General features: G+C 34.1%; 1 protein-coding gene across 2 annotated transcripts in view; it reads left to right on the top strand.

Annotated features, from left to right (window-relative positions):
* Window positions 1-18,854, top strand: part of LRP12 (LDL receptor related protein 12) — a 100,023-nt gene that overhangs the window by 66,235 nt on the left and 14,934 nt on the right. For both annotated transcript variants that reach the window (NM_001135703.3, NM_013437.5), the window contains one exon: window positions 13,950-14,085. In NM_001135703.3, the coding sequence (NP_001129175.1) occupies window positions 13,950-14,085 (136 nt within the window). The remainder of the gene's footprint in view (window positions 1-13,949; window positions 14,086-18,854) is intronic.

The raw sequence follows: 18,854 nt of genomic DNA, 5'->3' as shown, positions 1-18,854 counted from the left end.
TTAATGACTCTAGAAACTTTTTGACAGATTGCCTTCCAAAAAGGATGTACTAATTTACACAGTTGTCTGCATTTACTTTCAGTACAATCATGTTTTTCTTGCTTAACTTTTTTTCTTATTATGTTTCCATTAAAGTCTCAACCTTTTATTTGCTGTCAAACTGTTTTTTTTTAAGTAACATTTTCTTTTCTTCTTGATTCATGGCCTGGAGTTGTAACATCGCAAAGAATAAGAGAATGAGATTTGCTTTCCTTTATAGTTAGGCAAAAACTAGCCTGAAGTTTATAAAATATTTTCTGGTTGCTAATAGGAACAGATGTTAAGGCTTGCTGCTTTCTCAGGCAGAAGCTTTTTTTACATAGGAAGATTAACATGGTATTTCCAATTACCAATGATACAACTTCCAAATATTCCTACCTTTTAATGACAGCTGAAGTCTCTGTCTGAGGTTAGCTTGATTTTGAGTCTACTCTGCATTTGACTTAGAATCTTCTGTCAGGCAAATCTGACATTTCTGTGAGCTGAGAGAGAATATTTACTTAGGAAGTTTCTTTCTTAATCCGTATTCATATTAACTGAATTAGCAGAGTATATAAAATAGACTTCAGATAGTTTTGAAGTATTGTTTATGCTGTCAGAATTTTATTCTATCAAAATCATCACCCTTTCTTGCTTTTATGTATTTGCATTTTATAGTTTCTATTCTAATATTCGAAGGCCTAGCACATTGCTAATCCTGTATGCCTTTTACAACTAATAATTTAGTTGTGGCCTTTAAAATAGGGACATATTTTCTAAATTGCAATAAATTTGCTTTCAGATTAGTTAACATTTTGTAATAATGGAGAGTACTAAATTAAAATGGCTTTTGTTTTTAACCACAGCTTTGGGCTTAAATATTATAACATGGTATTTTGAAATTTTCCTGGAAGAACATCTAGTCTGATAAAGCTTTTATTATCCTAGAATGTTTAAGATCTTCCAAATAAAGAATCTGAAAGGAAATAAAGCTTAAATTGTAATTATCTCTGATAGAAGTTTACAATTATTTTTTAAATATAGAAAAGTTACATGAAAAAGTAGCAGGTCAAATGGTCCTTTGCACCTTTCCTATGTAATTTTAATATTATTTTACAATTATTCAATTAGGTACCTGGACCTCTTGTTAAAGTTACTGAGAAGAATTTCACTAGTTCTTTTGACCAGTGTTATAAAAATGTCTTTCATCCATGTTTCAGATGAAGAAAAGAAAGAAGCCTTATTACATTTTAGTTGATTATTAATACATTAGGGTTTTTAGGATTTCAGAATATAAAAACAGAACATAGTTTGAACCCAAGAAGCTATCCTTTATATAAAGAAAATGAGTAGGGAATATGAGACAGAGTAAATTCTTGATATATATATATATAAAAACATTACTATAGGATGCTAATAATTTTTAAAGTCATTGTCTACCTTCAGAGTTTACTTCTGAGACACTTAAAGTTTTAAAGTAGCGAACTCCCTTTAAGTTTTGGAAATGAAACTAATGGTGGTATTATTATTTCTATATTATATACTCTATAATTGAATCATGGCCAATGTCTTATATGAAACATCTTTATATTATATAATTGTAACCTATTTTATATTATATATCACATATTTATTGAACAATTATGTATTTATAACAAAATAATTATGTTATATTTTTATGTTACATTACAGGTTGACTATCCCAAATCTGAAAATCCAAAAATCAAAATGCTCCAAAATCCAAAACATTTTGAGCAACGACATAACACTCAAAGGAAATGCTCATTGGAGCATTTCACACTTCAGATTTTTGGTTTTGGGATGCTCAACTAGTAAGTATATATCTGTACATATTCCAGAATTTGAAGAAAAAAAAATCAAAATACTTCTGGTCCCAAGGATTTTGAATAAGGAATACTCATTGTATGTTATAATAAACAATAACTCCAGCATTAGAACAGCACGTGTGAGTACCAGAACTATAGACAGAACAGGTTGTATTGTGACAGGGTATGCAGTGCTTAGATGGTAGAAGTGAAGTTCATCTGATGGATATATCCATTTCATTGAGTGAGCCAAACCTAGTGAACGTAAAAAGGCAAGCTCTGTTCAAGCATTTGACATTTTCTTTTCCAGTCTGTAACTTTGGGAATAACTCTTCAAAGTTGATAACATGTTGGTTATCTGTAATTTTTGCCAAGGCATGAATTTTAATTGGATGTACTGTGAAACTGTTGTGCAAAAGCCAGTCACTTGGTGGATAAGCAAACTGTACTTGGGTATCAGTTGACTAACAGCCTGATGTAAGTAAGGGGGTGATTTGATATTAAACTGCAGTAATAGAAATACAGTATCCAGAACCAAGCAAATGATAGTTCTTCTTTACTCTTCATGCAAACGTACTCTGGTATTGTTTATTTCTGGGTACCACCCTTGACAAAAGACACAGTAACTGGAACACTCATAGAAGATGTGAGTATACTAAAAACTATGTCAAAGCTGATAGAGATGACCTACAAAATCGTGAGCTCCAAGGCCAGTTTGTTAGCTTAAGTGAGGATTTCTGCCTTACCTTTTTATGCTTCCAGCCAGAGTCACAGTAACCTTCAAAAATTAGTAATTTTTCCCATTTGGGAAATAGTAGTAGCTTGCTTTAGCATTTTAGTCTTCTGTAGTGCTTAAAATAGGAAAATGTAGGTACCATGTTAGTAATTTTTATACCCTTGCAGGAAAAAAAAATTGCCCTCATAAGCCCTTTAAAAAAGGCATAAAAGGATGAATCTTCTCTATTCATCTTACGTTATGCATTGTTAGCAAAATCCTAAATTATTCTTACTAAGAAATTTCAGGGTGAAGCTGGCTAGTTAGTTCCATTTTAGGTGGGTATATTCAGTTTCTTTGCTCTCCTCATCTTCATTCATACTGTGCTATGACCCGTTTTTTTTTTATTTCTCCTTCTCTCTTTATATTTTTGCCTCTTCTGACTTTGTATTTTATTTTACTGCCATATAACCCTTGATTATAGTTTGATTGTTCTGAACATTAGTGACCTTCAAGATACCAAGAAATTACCTGCCTTGATTACAGCTGATAGCCAAGTAAAATATTTTGGTCCTTAAAGAATGTCACTTAGAATAATATGAATAAATATATTGCTGTATTCAGTCTTAAATATCGGTACTAATGCAGAAGAATATTTAAATTATAAACAGCTGGATATAAGATTTCCTACTTGCCATGGCACTTGCGGTTTCTAATAATAAGTCTCAGAGTAATGAGAGTCCTAAGTGGGAGTGATGGATTAATATCATTTTTTCTGCTTGCCTGATTCTTGTCTTTCAAGTCATAGTTAAAACCTTTCCCATCTTAGACTAGTAAATATTGCTACAAGTTGAGCATCCCTAATCTAAAAATCTGAAATTTGAAATGCTCCAGAATCTTTTAGAGCACTGACATGATGCTCACAGGAAATACTCATTGAAGCATTTCAGATTTTGGATTAGGGATGTTCAACCAGTATGTATGCGCAAATATTCCAAATTTTGAAATCCAAAACACTTTTGGTCCCAAGCATTTTGGATTAGGGATACTCAACCTATGTTCAAGTGCTAGTAATTATTCCCATACAGGGAGAAGTTCAGTTTTCTAACTTCTTTTTTAAAAAGAATGAAATTTGGAGTAATTCTAAGGAAATCTTACTCATGTTCAATCTCTGTCCCCTTCCAACTCTGTCCATCCTCAAAATGTTGACTTCTGACATTCACATTATAACGCAGCTTGGCTCAGGTGCCAAGGAGTCAGAAAACCCCATTTAAAGAGTCTGGAGGGTCAGAGAAATCAGGACACTATTTAGGCAACAAACACAGTCAAGATACAGGAAGAGGACTTTTGAATCAAAGTAATTTCTGCCTAGCTGTGGGCGTGTGTTTCCTGTTCAGGTTACAGGGCTTAGTTATGTTATACATGGCAGTCCAACAAAGGGCAACTATAGTACTCTAACTTATTTTTCTTGCAGATTCCAACAGTTGGTCACTTGCCTTGTATTCTCAGTGGCCCATAGACTCTATGCTGAACATGCATGCTTTCCAGACTGTCCATTATTAAGTGTCTTTAAGTATCTGTCCATTGCTCTTTCCTTTGAAATGTCTCCCTCAGCCTCCACTTCATCCCCTTATTGCTACTATTCTACTCCTTGCCCTAAGCATCTTACCCATAATTAACTATATGTATATATGTTCTCTTATCATTAAAAGTAGGTTCTAGAATGCTGTTTATAAAATTTTTAATACCAAAGATACTAAGAAGCTGGTCAGTTCTGCCTGTAGTTCTTAGATAATGTGTAGCAAATAAGGAATCAATCTTTAGAAGCTTTAAAACTACTAACTATACTTATTTTCTCTGTGTTATTATAGATTATCTACCCTTTCTATCCATGTTAATGTAGGACCAATAGTTCATTTTTCTAGAATAGACCACTTTTGTCATTTAAATGCTATTGAAACGGCTCCCTTCCACCTCCCTGGTAATTTTTCCAGATGTTATAGGGAGTTCGTTAGTGGGCAGCAGTTTGCCTTAGTGGTTAAGAATACAGCTTTTATGAAGCCTCTTGTCTGGGTTCCATCCCAGCTCTGAGACTTACAGCTTTTTTGTGACCTTAGAAAAATTACCAAATTTCTCTGTGCCTCCATTTTTTTCTTATCTGTTAAATAGGGATAATAATAATAAGTATTAAGGTACCTGCCAGGTAATAAGAGTTCAATAAGTGTTAGGTAATTTTATAACATTATCATCAGCTGTGGATCCAAGGCCTGCATACATGCTTCACTTTAATGATACTTACAGTTCTTGGACTTGGAAACCATATATTTCTGACTTGAAGCAGAAATCTCATCCTCAGCACTATGTGTCATACTTAGCCTTTTAAGTTTTCAAACTGCTATTATTTTCCTAAATTAACAGTAGGCCAGGAGGTACCTGATTTTTATGCTAATCATCTAACTACATACTCTGCTTTTTCCATGTTTGGGTGCCTTTAGTTGTTTGCATAAGCATAATATTTTCCATGTATTGAATGATTCACTTGTTAACTTTCAGAATAATTTTTACTGTCATCCCATATGGCCATTCAATCCAGACACCATTTGCTTACCAAATTTTTATTTTGGAGATGGTGGGTTTCTTTAAGTACATTTATTTCCATTGGAATCAAATCCTTCTTACTAGTTTTCAACACTTGGAATTGCTTTTGTACTCATCAGCCATAATGGAATTAATATTCTTTATAATACACTCTATACAGTACTCTGAAAAATGAGATGGCCAAATGACACTAACCACCGTTACCTATATATGCTATTATCCTTTGCTTATGAACAGAGTGAGCATGATTTTGCTGTCGTGAAACTTTCATAAAGTAAAATTGTACAAAAAGATGAGTTTTTATAATTGCTTTTTAGGTGATCTCTTTGCCTCACTGGTTTCTCTTCCCTCAATAACCTTTACAAAATACTTGGATCACATCACTTCCTTTTGTAGTAGGTCTGTCTTGGCTTGACTGCTGTCTATAGAATTTGGGTCATTAAATTCTTTTAACTAGTTTAGAGTATGCTTTTCTGTGGCTCTACCAACTTCTCTTCTATGAAAGAAATCTTTTGTTCATAGTCAAGCATAACCTTCTCTGTTCTATACTTGTATAATATAGGTTTTTGGTCGGCCTTTGTTTCTGTTTAATTACACCATGTCTATAACTGAACATGTGATACTTTGCCTAAAGTTACTTGTTATGCATTAAATCATGTACTGTATTATCTGGTATGCTGTCATATTAACTGTTATATGCTTCTTGGATTCAGTTAAAAAGTATATGTCATTGTTATAAAACTATAATTTCCATGAGAACATGAGTTCTCTATTTCTTTTGTGCCCTTCATATGTGTCTTATAAAGTTAGGTGGTCAGTAAACATAAACAGACATTTACTTGCATTTCAGTTTTGTGATTTATTAAAATCAAAGTCAAAGATTTCACATAACTTTTAGTCTCAACTACTTTTTGTCATGAAGTATCAACTCTTGTCAGTTTTAAAAAACCCAGTTCTTCATCTGTGGAGCAGGAAATTATACTTTTTCTTTGACAGTAGTTCAGCTCTAATTGTAAATATGTACTTTTTCTGTAATTTTTTAGGTGTTTTGAAACTATGAAATCTCAAATTGTAAGACAGCTTGACTTTATTTTGAAGTGATCCTCCCTCTTTCATGTGTCTTCTTAATAGAGGCTGAGCACTGCCAATTTTTTAAATAATTGATTTAAATATAATAAGTATGATGCATTAATCTAGTTTTAAAACCATAGTCCTTTGCTTTTCTGTAGGATTATTAAAATAGTATAAGTAAAAACAAGAAGTCTTCAGTGTTTCATCAGTTAACTTTGCCCTGTTTTCTAAACTATACAGTGAGATCTTTATATTTTAAATGAGAAAACTAATACCAAAATCTTAAGAACTCCATCAGAGGATCTCTACCTGTTCATTCTTCAGTTAATTCTCCCTTTCTTAATTGACAACATACATGATAAATTTTAAAAATATGTATTCAGTTAATCTTTTCATATAGTTTAACCATTAGCATTATAATAATGTCATTGCCTTTTTTTTTTCATTTCAGATGTCCTATACACTACTTCAACTGTAAATTAAATAGGCTTTTGTGGGGGCTAGTCAGATAGCCTGTAGGTTCCTACTAAGAAGATGCTATCTACGTTTGAAAGTTGCTATCTTTTGAATAAACATTTTGAACCTCTTTAATTTGGGGATTTCTATTTCTGGGTTATAGAAAATTTATAAAAAGTAGAGAATGTAGATCATCATTATCCAAAGTACTTGAATATTTGTTTATATCTAAAGATAACTCACCAACGTAAATTAGATGATGTTTGTAAAACAAAAAGTTGATACTGGCTGGGCTTGGTGGCACACACCTGTAATCCCAGTACTCTGGGAGGCCAAGGAGAGTGGATTATTTGAGCTCAAGAGTTCAAGACCAGCCTGGGCAACATAGGGAGACCCCATCTTTATAAAAAAATAAAAATAGTAAATTTAAAACATTGATGCAAGTAATTAAGAGATGTATTAAGGAAGCAAAATGAACAAAGACTAACAAGGCTTCTGAGAGAAGTGTTGGCATAGATCACTTACAACTACATACCTTTTAAGTATAACCCTAGCAAATAAAATATCAATCCAAATACTACCACAGTCAAATACCTGTGGACATTTACAATTACAATCAGTCTATATTCTGCAGCCATATATGCATAGGTTCATGCTCCCCCACTTAAAGGTATTTGCTTTTAATGGAGACCAATTTAATCAAAACTAAAAATACACTTCAGGGATATCCCTCATCAATTAAATTGTTTTGTTTTCATAGTGGTGTGATGTCTTCATATTTCCATCTGCATTTTGCACCTTCCCAAGATAGCTTAATAGAGACAAAAACCAAGCAGTAATTTTAGCCAAAAAAAGTAACCACATTTTGCAATAAAGAAAGGCAGCTTCTATAGGGTTTTCATATTTTTTCTTAAACTCTGAAAACTTCTACCTCTGGTTATTTCAAATCATTAGCATGCTGGGAATAAGATCTTACATAATTTTGCATTGTACTGACAAGATTTATTTATTTGCCAATTACATATAAACTAATTCTTAAGGAAGAATTAGCCAGACCATAGCTGAAATAACTATGTTTAAGCAATAGAAAAGGTATGAATAGAATGAATGTAAGCAAAAGAAGGTCAAGTTTGATGTATTTTAAACTGGGAGGATAGTCAAAATATAGAAAGATGAAGTTCAAACCATGTAAAGATTTTGATTTCAAACAAATATTTATTTCCTAAAGTGAAGTTTTGTGAGTATGTGTCCCAACCCTATCCTTCCCATGGCTTTTATCTGTGTCAGGTAACCAGTTAATCATGACATAATTTCTCATTCTTTCGAGTGCATAATAGTGCCCAGCACTTACAAAGTAAACAATCACACATCCTCTTTCAGTCACTGTCCTCTTTCTCACTTAGCCTGAACACAGCCTTAGTAGCCATCTCAATACAGCATTCCAGGCATTACTACCAACCAGTCTGATTTGGCATATCATGTAATATTGTTTACTGACAGTTTACTGTAATACAAGCAGTGTGCTATGTCTTTTACCAAAATAATTGCATGTAATCCTTGGAACATCCTGTGTACTAGTATTTTAATCCCCATTTACAAGTGAGGAAATTGAGACTTGGTTTTTTTGTTTTTCTTTTGTTGTTGTTTTTTCTGTCATTTTTTTTGAGACAAAGTCTTGCTCTGTTGCCCAGGCTGGAGTCAGTGGCACGATCTCAGCTCACCTCAGCCTCCTGAGTAGCTGGGACTACAGGTGCGCACCACCACGCCTGGCTAATTTTTTTTTTTTTTTTTTTTAAGTAGAGACGGGGTTTCACCATATTGGCCAGGCTGGTCTTGAACTCCTGATCTCATTATCCACCCGCCTCGGCCTCCCAAAGTGCTGGGATTACATGCGTGAGTCACCACACTTGGCCGGAGACTTAAGTTTTATCTGTTTTATCAATATTATAATAATAAGCCACCTCAAATCTATAATGTAAAATGAGTAACAGTAATATAAATATGATAAACTAGGAAAAATGAAATTACAGGTTATAGTAGGTACTGGAGCTGAAGTATTAATGATAAGTTGGGACTGGGAAGCCATTTATAAAGCACTGAAATAATGAAAAAATGGAAGACCCAGAGGATTTCCTTTGGAAGGTTGGGGCAGATGTGTAAGAGATAAAACAGGCCTTGGTTCCCTAAGAAGTGGTGAAGGCAGGCTCAATTTCTGACTGAAATTTCCGGTTTTAATCTCTGTGAGGCCTAACTTATTTCCTGTCCTTGAAAATTCTTGAAAACGCCTGTAGTATTCTTCAATTTCTTTTTACTTCAGTACCTATTCCATCAAACAAATGCTGCCTGAGATGATGTAGATTCAGAATATAGGATATTCTGAAGACGGATTTGGGAAACACACAGGTCTGATCATGTTGAATTTGAGGTTAGAATGTCCAGTGGGCATTTGACTATGCAAAGCCTCTGGGTTAAAAATTTTAAACTCATGACCATAGTTGAAATTGTAAAAGTGGATGAAATCTTCCATTGAGAGTGAGAAGAGCAGAGGGCTTTGGAATTAACCATGAAACCAGTATCAAGGACTGGCTGGCTGGCTGGCCAAGGACAGAGGATCTAGTGCTAGAAAATTAACACAGAATAGAGTTAGAAGGAGAATTAGAGGAGGTGATGTCCACAAAGTCTGGGTAGTACAGTTCCAAGTCTGGGTAGTCAGTGTCAGGTGCTCCAGAAAGATCAAGTACCTTGGGAATGAGTGTCCATTGGATTTAGCGGTGAGGTCACTGATGGCCTTTTCCTGCTAGCATGGTTTCTGTGGAGATAAGGTCAGAATTGAAAGTCTATTTCAGTGGGTCAGAGAAAAAATGCAAAGGAAGAAAATGAAAAATTTATCAATGTATCCCATTGAGCTATCAGAAATATAGTGGGAAGAGGTGCATGATTGAGGGCTGAAATAGACCTTAGAGGTAATCAAATAGCAACTCCGTATTTCAACACATGAGGAAATTATTAATAGCGCCCCCAAAAATTTAGTAGTTTATATTGTGCAAAGCCAGTAAGTGGCAGGTAGAACAGACAGCATCTAGGTCTTCTGATACCAAATCTGCCAGTATACATAGGCAAACTCTTAACCCAAAAGGGAGTTAAAAATTGCTTTAATGGTTTCTTTTGGCTTTTGAAATGTATTCTTTCTTAGATATAGAAAGGAATACATTATGGCTGTGCTACAGCATATTTGTCTACATACTCAGTGTGTTGTACATGCAGAAATAGGTTGAAAAAAAGCCACTGGCTAGATCTGAAGCCAGATTCCAAATTCAGTCATGTTGGAAATGTGCATAACTAAATCAATATATATATTTATAACCAATTCAGGAAGAAATTTTAAGATACTATGGTTTTGTTTTTGATTAGGAAGAATCATTAATATTTTAAAATAATGTTATAAAAGTACATATTGAATTAGAAATATAAATATTGAATCTCATAATAGTCATTCTTATTTATGGGTGGTATGTCTTATCCCTGGGCCGTTGCATGAAAATAAAATATTCACAAAATGTATTTTTGAGTACCATACTAGAATCTTCAGTTATTGGTATAAGAGCACCACCTATGGGTTTCTCATGTACTTGAAATTTTTTTCCTAAAACAAAACCTAATAAAATTCTTTCTAGTTTTTCCCTATAATTATTCTATCGATTTAGTCAAAGGTTAGGAATGTTCTTTGTCCTAGATTAATCCCACCTTGTTTTTGGCTGTATGTCACTGCTGTTAAACCATTTAATAAATAGTTGAGTACTTACATGGTAGTACAGAATTATAATTGAGTTAAATGTAATTTAACTCAAAATTGTATTAGTCTCTTTAACGTAGGTGAATCTTTTAATAAAAATGAACAATTTTCCATATTCTGGGGAAAGGGTGATGATTGTTTTTGGCTGTTTATTTATATGTTTGTTTATATTTTCATGAACTTAAGATTTCCTTTAGCTTACTGCGACTCCAGAATGCTGTGTTAGGAGATAATGAAAAGTCTCGCTCTGTCACCAGGCTGGAGTGCAGTGGCACGATCTCAGCTTACTGCAGCCTCCGCCTCTCAGGTTCAAGCAATTCTCCTGCCTCAGCCTCCTGAGTAGCTGGGACTACAGGTGCACGCCACCACACCCAGCTAATTTCTGTACTTTTAGTAGAGATGGGGTTTCACCATGTTGGCCAGGAGAAAAAGAAGTTCTTACAAATAACTTAGCTATCTTTTTATTAAATTATTGTAATGATAACTCAGAGTAAAGTGGAAGAAAACTGGCAGTTTATTATTAATAAACTCTTAAAGAATTACATTTGGATACATATAGTCTTTTTCTAAAACGTCATTTATTAAAATTAAAACTTTTTTGTAAGGGAGATTTACTAACGAAACAGCAGCAAAAAAAAAAAGAAAAAAAGAAGCTTTGACTATGCCTTGGCAATGAGATGAATGCTAAGCCCTTGATATATCTGTGCTGTATGCCATGAATCTGTTCTGAAAGCGATTCAAAACAGATGCCCTTTGGCAGTGCACCCTAATTCCAGGGCAGACCCATTTTTCGATATGAACTTTTTTTTCTGCAGTAGAATATACTTTTAAAGCTTTGATTGCATGTTTTCTTCAGGGAGTAGGTTATTCTATAGAAATAAGGATTGACTTTAAGTAATATAGCTTGTTTTATTTTGATCATTATGGATAAAATTCTTTAAATTACATAATATACTTCCTAGCATTCTTAACCTAAATTGAAAAGTGTATAACCCCTGTTACGGAAAACAAAAACAAAAACAAAAAAAAGTTGCCATGCATGGTGGCATGCTCTTTGTAGTCCCAGCTACTCAGGAAGCTGAGGCAAGAGGATCACCTGCGCCCAAGAATTCAAGGCTGTAGTGTCCTATGCTAGTGCCTGTGAATAGCCACTGCACTCCAGCCTGGGCAACATAGTGAGATCTCATCTCTTAAAAAAAAAAAAATGCTGGGCGCGGTGGCTCACGCCTGTAATCCCAGCACTTCGGGAGGCTGAGGTGGTAACATCACAAGGTCAAGAGATCGAGACCATCCTGGCCAACCTGGTGAAACCCCTTCTCTACTAAAAATACAAAAATTAGCTGGGTGTGGTAGCGTGCACCTGTAGTCCTACTTACTCGGGAGGCTGAGGCAGGAGAATTGCTTGAACCTGGGAGGCAGAGGTTGTAGTGAGCCGAGATTGTACCACTGTACTCCATCCACCCTGGAGACAGAGTGAGACTCTATCTCAAAAAAAAAAAAAAAAAAAAAAAAAAAAGTCATTTTTCCAAATTACAATTGTAATAGTGGTATTTGGCCATCTCTTGGGTTACCTGATTTTTAAACTACAGCAGAACTTAAAAAGCATGGGAGTGCAGGCCGTGTTTTATACCAGTCATTTTGCCTATACTGATTCATTATTCACTCAACAACTCTTAGATCAGTATGAATATTAATTTATTATGATGATATAATACAACAGTCTTACCTTTTGAGAGACAGGCAATATATAAATTATGAGCTCATGGTTTTTGAGTTTAGTATGTAGTGTTTGTTTTTCTGAAAATTTACTCGTCACTTCTGATAACTGTTTATGTACCCCTGGCAGCTACTCTCCCCACTTCTAATTTTCTGCTTCTAATCTGCTGTTACTTTAAAATCAAGTAATCTAATTTGTTGAAATTGTATTAAATAAGACGTTCTAGAATTTTAAATTCTACTAAAGGCTTAAACATCACGTATTTGATTGAGAGAGAATAAATTGTCACATTATCAACTGAATTCTGGATAATGTTAACTATATTGCAACGAGAGTTCCAGATAGTGCAAGAATAATCCAGGAAAGTGTTGGTATTAGTTTTAATTTATTCTATATGCATGAAGATTTTCCTCTGTGATATGCAGATGTCTAATCACATGGTGATATTTTAAGCACTATTTCAAAATTTTACTTTTAAATAATGTAGGAATCATTCATAACCCTGTAATAAATAGCTTGGAAGTATTAATGGAATAAATTGAAGAACTGCTTTGCAGTGATTTTGAGTGTTTTACTATCTTTATTCAATCATCCACTAACTTCTTAACAAAAATTACAATCCAGCATCTTACTGTTAGGCTTATTTAGAGTACCCTAAAAGCAGCATTATGCTCCTAAGGATCTAAACAAAGTAGGTAAGCAAATATTGGAAAGGTAGTTTATGATAAAGAAAATAAACTTGAAAGATGAGTTTTGAAAAAAGATGGGTGGATGGATAGATCAGTCTCCATGGCCAAAGCCAGTAATCTTGAACTCTTATTCAGTGATCCAGTTTGAAATTTCCTTGCCTGCCCAAAACATGTACAGTAGTCCCTCCTTATCTATGAGGGATACCTTCAAGACCCTCAGTGAATGCCTGAAACTGCAGAGTACCAAACCTGATTGCTGTCCAGTTTAATGCCTTTTCCATCTTAACTAAGCACTTAGGTACTGCGGCCATTAACTTTTGCAGTTTGAGGTATCACAGCAAAACTAGCATGAATTTCTTTTTCCTTCTTCATAATTTCATGGATATAAGATTCATTCTTACCTTAGAGCTCAGACACCTCAGCATACGATTTTTTTTCTATTGTTGAGAACTTTCACCTTTTCACTTAATGGAAGCACTTTACAGCTTCTCTTTGACATATCCGAATTACCAGCATCACTACTTTTGTGCTTCAAGGCCATTCATAATGGCAAAATAAGGGTGACTTGAACACAAGCACTTCAATACTGTGACAGTTGATCTGATAAGTGAGATGGCTACTAAGTAACTAATGGGTGGGTAGCATACACAGCGTGGATACACTGGACAAAGGGAAGATTCATGTCCCGGGAGGGACAGAGCAGCACAGCAAGAGATGTCATCACTACTCAGAACAGCACACAATTTAAAACTTAAGAATTATTTATTTCCAGAATTTTCCATTTACTATTTTCAGACCACTGTTGGCTCCAAGTAACTGAACAATGAAAAGCAAAATGTCCGATAAGTGGGGCTACTGTATTTTATTGGAATAAGGGACTTTATCTAAAAGGGAGAAAATTGAAATATCTCATTAGAATAATAGCTTTTTAAAGTTGATACTACCATATCTTATTGGTTATTATTTGATGTGTAAAGTTTTTTGGTTTTTAAAAAATAAACACTGATTTACCTAATACCATTTAAATGTGTAATAATAAGGAAAGATTGCTTTGGCTATCTTCCAGCTTGTGGAGAGACTCCAGAGCAAATACGAGCACCAAGTGGCATAATCACAAGCCCAGGCTGGCCTTCTGAATATCCTGCAAAAATCAACTGTAGCTGGTTCATAAGGGCAAACCCAGGCGAAATCATTACTATAAGGTAATTCTACCTTTCTGTATTACTATATAATTTATTACAAAACATAAATTCCATTTTCATTTATTATTACTTAACATGCAGTAATATAAAAAGAAGGCTTTTCAGGAGATGTAATAAAGAACAGCTATTAGCTATTGGTGTCATCTTAAGAGTAAGAGTAACAGCCCATCTGGTATGTGTTTTGAGTATTTTCTAAGGGTGGTAATGTATTTGCATTGAATCATCTATATTCTTCTAAGCTACTTTTTAACAAAATATAGACATTTGCAAAATAGCCTATTAGGGTCAAGACTAACCTTTGGCAGTGGAACAAACAAATAAACAAAACTCATTAATTCACTTGGATATCTAGCTCTTAACCTTTGTCTCATTAGTAGAGCCTTCTACCTAAATGAGTTAAAACACAATTTGTCATGCCTGTCTGTATATGTGTATGTATGTATAAAACTTGAAACAAACTGATAATGGAGAAATACTATATCTAGAAAAATCTTTGTTTATAACTTCGAAACAAAAGAACATTTGTTAAGAATACAAATGAAAGGCATTCCTAGGGGAAATAGCTGTAAGTTTAAGATTCTAAGAATGAATGTGACATATAAATAAGGAAGGTTAAGATTAAATTTTAAAACATTTAGCAAATTACTTGCAGAGAAAAACAGTACGGGAATAAGATTGTAAAGAATATATTTAGTAGAACTAGATACTGCTTGCTTAGGAAAATTCTATCAAGGCCATTAGGAAAAAAATATTTACCTACAGGGGAAAAAAAAATAGCCCGAATGAAGAACTGCAGTTGGAACAAAACACAAATAAGAATGTCATTTCCATCACAGAGACAGTGTAGCACAAAGGCACCTTCAACATGTTTTCATGTGTAACATTGTATGGGTAGGAGGCATAGAATTTTAGATTTAGAAGAGACTTTGGAGATCATAAACTCAAATTCCTTCATTTTATGTTTTTAAAATAAGACTTATACATTTAGCCTACTTTCTCATCTTTTTTCATCTTCCTTTTTTGTATTTATTAACTGATGAGGAAACCAATCTCTCTTGAGAAGCATAACTGTCATCTATCTCCTTTTTTTGGTGGAAACCACAAACAAGGGCCATAGTTTGTTTTCCTTTTATTTTCCTCTACCCTACATTACCTCTTCTGGAACCCCAGAGCTTGGCACATACAAAAGCTGTTGTTCTCCTCCTCCATGCAGTGTTTTTCTCTTGCCTGATTGAGTGGTAGAATGCACCATTAAGGTTATCTTTCTGTAACAGGGTCAGTGTTTAAATGTAAATAATATACCTATTTTCTGTTACTTGTAGTGTGACTAAGTATGTTTACAAAATAACATTTTTACCACATATTGGGAGTTTTTTAGCATAAAACTAGAATTTATAGAGACCTTCACCTTTTAACCTAAAAATTTAACTTACAACTTATAGCTCAGTTTTGTAAAACTTGAAAATCTTACCAGCACAGAGGAGATTACATGAAATACTGCCATCTGGTTTTGATAATGTATTGCATCCTTGAGATTTCATGAGGTTAAGATACACTAAAAACCAAGCACAATACTGAAATGCAGAATAAAATTGAAGTGAGCCCTACAGCTAAAGGAAAATTTCCTGAATTTTAGAAGGGAGCAATGAATTTCGATGTATACAGATCAGAAGGTGATTTTAGTAATTGTTCAGATTCTTTACTGAAGTCATTATCATGGTAATACCATAACTTTAAAAAGATGACACACCTGCATATACACAAAGACAAGTTTTACATATGATTATCATTGCATAATCTTAAATGATTCAAAAGAATCATATGCATAATTAAATGTAGCTCTTTTAGACATACAAATGAGTCAGTATTAGGAAATATTAAATTAACTTACCATGTAAACAAGTCAAAAGAAAAAGTATATGATTATCTAGTGTACACAGATGCTTTGAAGCATCTTGGTAAAAAAGAAAATCAGCATTCATTCCTGAATTTAAAATAAAAATTTTAAATTCTTAGTAAAATGGAATTAGAAACATGATTTTTTAAAATCTGGATAGAAGAGGGAAACTAAAGTTACGGAGTAAAAACAATACTGAGAACTGTCTGTATAAAACTTGCTTAAGATGGTGAAATAAAGGCATTTTTACTTCATTCCTCTCCCTTGGAACCCACTATAATCAACAAAGGCCACCTTATCCATGGGGAAGAGAGGATTGAATACCAGCACCCTGCTTGAAGCCAAGGACTAGGGACGGGCAATTTTGCTCCAGACAGGAGGCTGAAAAATCTTCCACCAACCACAGCCTGAATTTATATGGGGCTGAGAGCTTAGAGAGCTGAGAGGGCATAACCTAACAAACATGAATAACTATGTCACCTGCTGACTCCATGAAAGGATCTGTAATACTCTGAACCATCATTTAAGACTTGTTCTGGAATGTAGACCCAAGTAGGGGAACATAGAAGAAGAGAGGATTAAAAAAAAGAGAGAAAACCAAAAAACTTCCATAAAATAAACCTGTAAACCAAAATTCCAGAATGTGTGAAAAAATTGAATGCTGAGAAAAACAGCCAAACAAAATTAAGTTGGAACTCAAATTTACTCCAGGCATTTTAAGATGTATTCTGTCAGGAATTATTTCTTAACTTTCTTTATGCCACGGCCACCTAGTATTCTGGTAAAACCTATGTATTCTTTCCCAGAATAATGTGTTTAAATTCATTAAAAAAAATACATAGCATTACAAAGGGAACCAATTATGTTAAAGTACAGCTATCAGATATTTTTTAATATTTGTAATGTAATATATGCTTATTTATGAACACATTAGCAAAATCAAGTGGTTAATTTCAAAGAAAAAATTTTACGTGTAAATAGTATTTTTAGATATCTGTAAAAACTGAAATGTAACATAAAAATATCTCTAATTTTGAATAGTGGTGGAGTGGCCAGTGCTATAAATACTGTCATGGTTTGTTGTTTATAAGTGTAGGAAATGCTAAATTTTAGTAAAAGGTTAGTGAAAATAAAGCTTTAAATTGTTTCTACCCTATTTGTGATTTTTGAGGGGACAGGAGAAACACCGAATATTCTTACTTGGACTTTGTTAGAAAAAAAGTGTGTTTCAGCATTTCAGTTAAAATATCAAAAGGTAGCCACTGATTAAAAATAGGAGTAATATTGAGCAGTTAACAGAGGAAAAGGAACTTTAAAAATATATTCAAAAAAGACAGGAAGCTAGATGTGGTGGCTCACGCCTGTAATCCCAGCACTTTGGGAGGCTGAGGCAGGCAGATCACTTGAGGTCAGGAGTTTGAGACCAGCCTGGCCAACATAGCGAAACCTCATCTCTACTAAAAATACAAAAATTAGCTGGGCATGGTGGCACGCGCCTATAATCCTAGCTACTCAGGAGGCTGAGGCATGATAACTGCTTGAACCCAGGAGGTGGAGGTTACAGAGCCAAGATCATGCCACTGTGCTCCAGCCTAGGCAACAGAGTGAAACCCTGTCTCAAAAAAAAAAAAAAAAAAAAAAAGGAAAGAAGGAAAATGAGAACTCTCTCCCAAGTAGAAAGGTTGTAACACATCTAAAACAAAACTAATACAGAATGTCTAAAAACAAGGAGATGGGCCAGATGCTGTGGCTCGTGCCTGTAATCCTAGCATTTTGGAAGGCCAAGGTAGGCTCAGGAATTCGACACCAGCCTGGGCAAGGTGGTGAAACCCTGTCTTTACAAAAAATACAAAAAACTAGCTGGGCATGATGGCACGTTGCCTGTGGTCCCAGCTACTCAGGAGGCTGAGGTGGGAGGATTACCGGAGCCCAGGAGGTTGAGGCTGCAGTGAGCCATGAATGCACCACTGCACTCCAGCTTGGGTGGAAGAATGAGACTTAGTCTTAAAAATAAACAAAAACAAAACGAGATAGAAAAGGTTAGTTTTGGAGCTACTCATCAAGAGAAAGCTAGTGTAGGAAGATTAACATCCATTGTAATTGAGCTTAAGGCACAAAATACTAGTAACAATTGGGGTATTCTACCAGGAAAATAAACCAGCAGTAAATTTCATTTACTTAATTACATAGCCTAAAATACATGCAAAGCAAAATGTGGAGAATTGCCCGGCAAATTTGACCAATCCACAGTTGCAGTGGGAGATTTTTAACACACCTTTAATACTTATTTCAACAAAGAATACACATTCTTTTCAAAGACATGTGGAACATTTATAAAAATTGATTATGTTTCACATCACAAAGGAACTCTTAATACATTTCAAAGACTGTACATCATTCAGATTGTGTTTTCTTACCACAATGCAATTAAAATAAAAGAAAAAAATAAACCTGTATGTTTAGAAATATATTCCTAAATAACTCCTGAATTAAAGAGGAAATCACAATGGGACCAAATATTTTTTAAATAACCATAGTGAAAGTAATACATATTAAAACTGTTAGAATACATTGAAAGAATACTTAGAAAAGTTTACAACTTTAATGCATTGATTTAAAAATTAGAAAATAAATAAGCTCAGCATTTAACTCAAGAGTTAAGGAAAAGAATTAGAGGGTAAATTTTAAAGTAGCAGTAAAGACCAGGAAAATACGCAATAAAATTCAATAAAACAAAAAGCTGACTTTCTGAAAAACTCAGGAAAATAGATAAAACTCAAAGCAAAACTGAAGAAAAAGAGAAGATAAAAAGAGCAAAAGTGTCTGTAGTTATAAACAAAATTTTTAATGTCATAAGAGAATATTATAAGCA

This window comes from Homo sapiens, chromosome 8 (assembly GCF_000001405.40).
Source record: "Homo sapiens chromosome 8, GRCh38.p14 Primary Assembly".
Taxonomy (NCBI): domain Eukaryota; kingdom Metazoa; phylum Chordata; class Mammalia; order Primates; family Hominidae; genus Homo; species Homo sapiens.
This window is presented reverse-complemented; position numbering and strand designations above follow the sequence as displayed.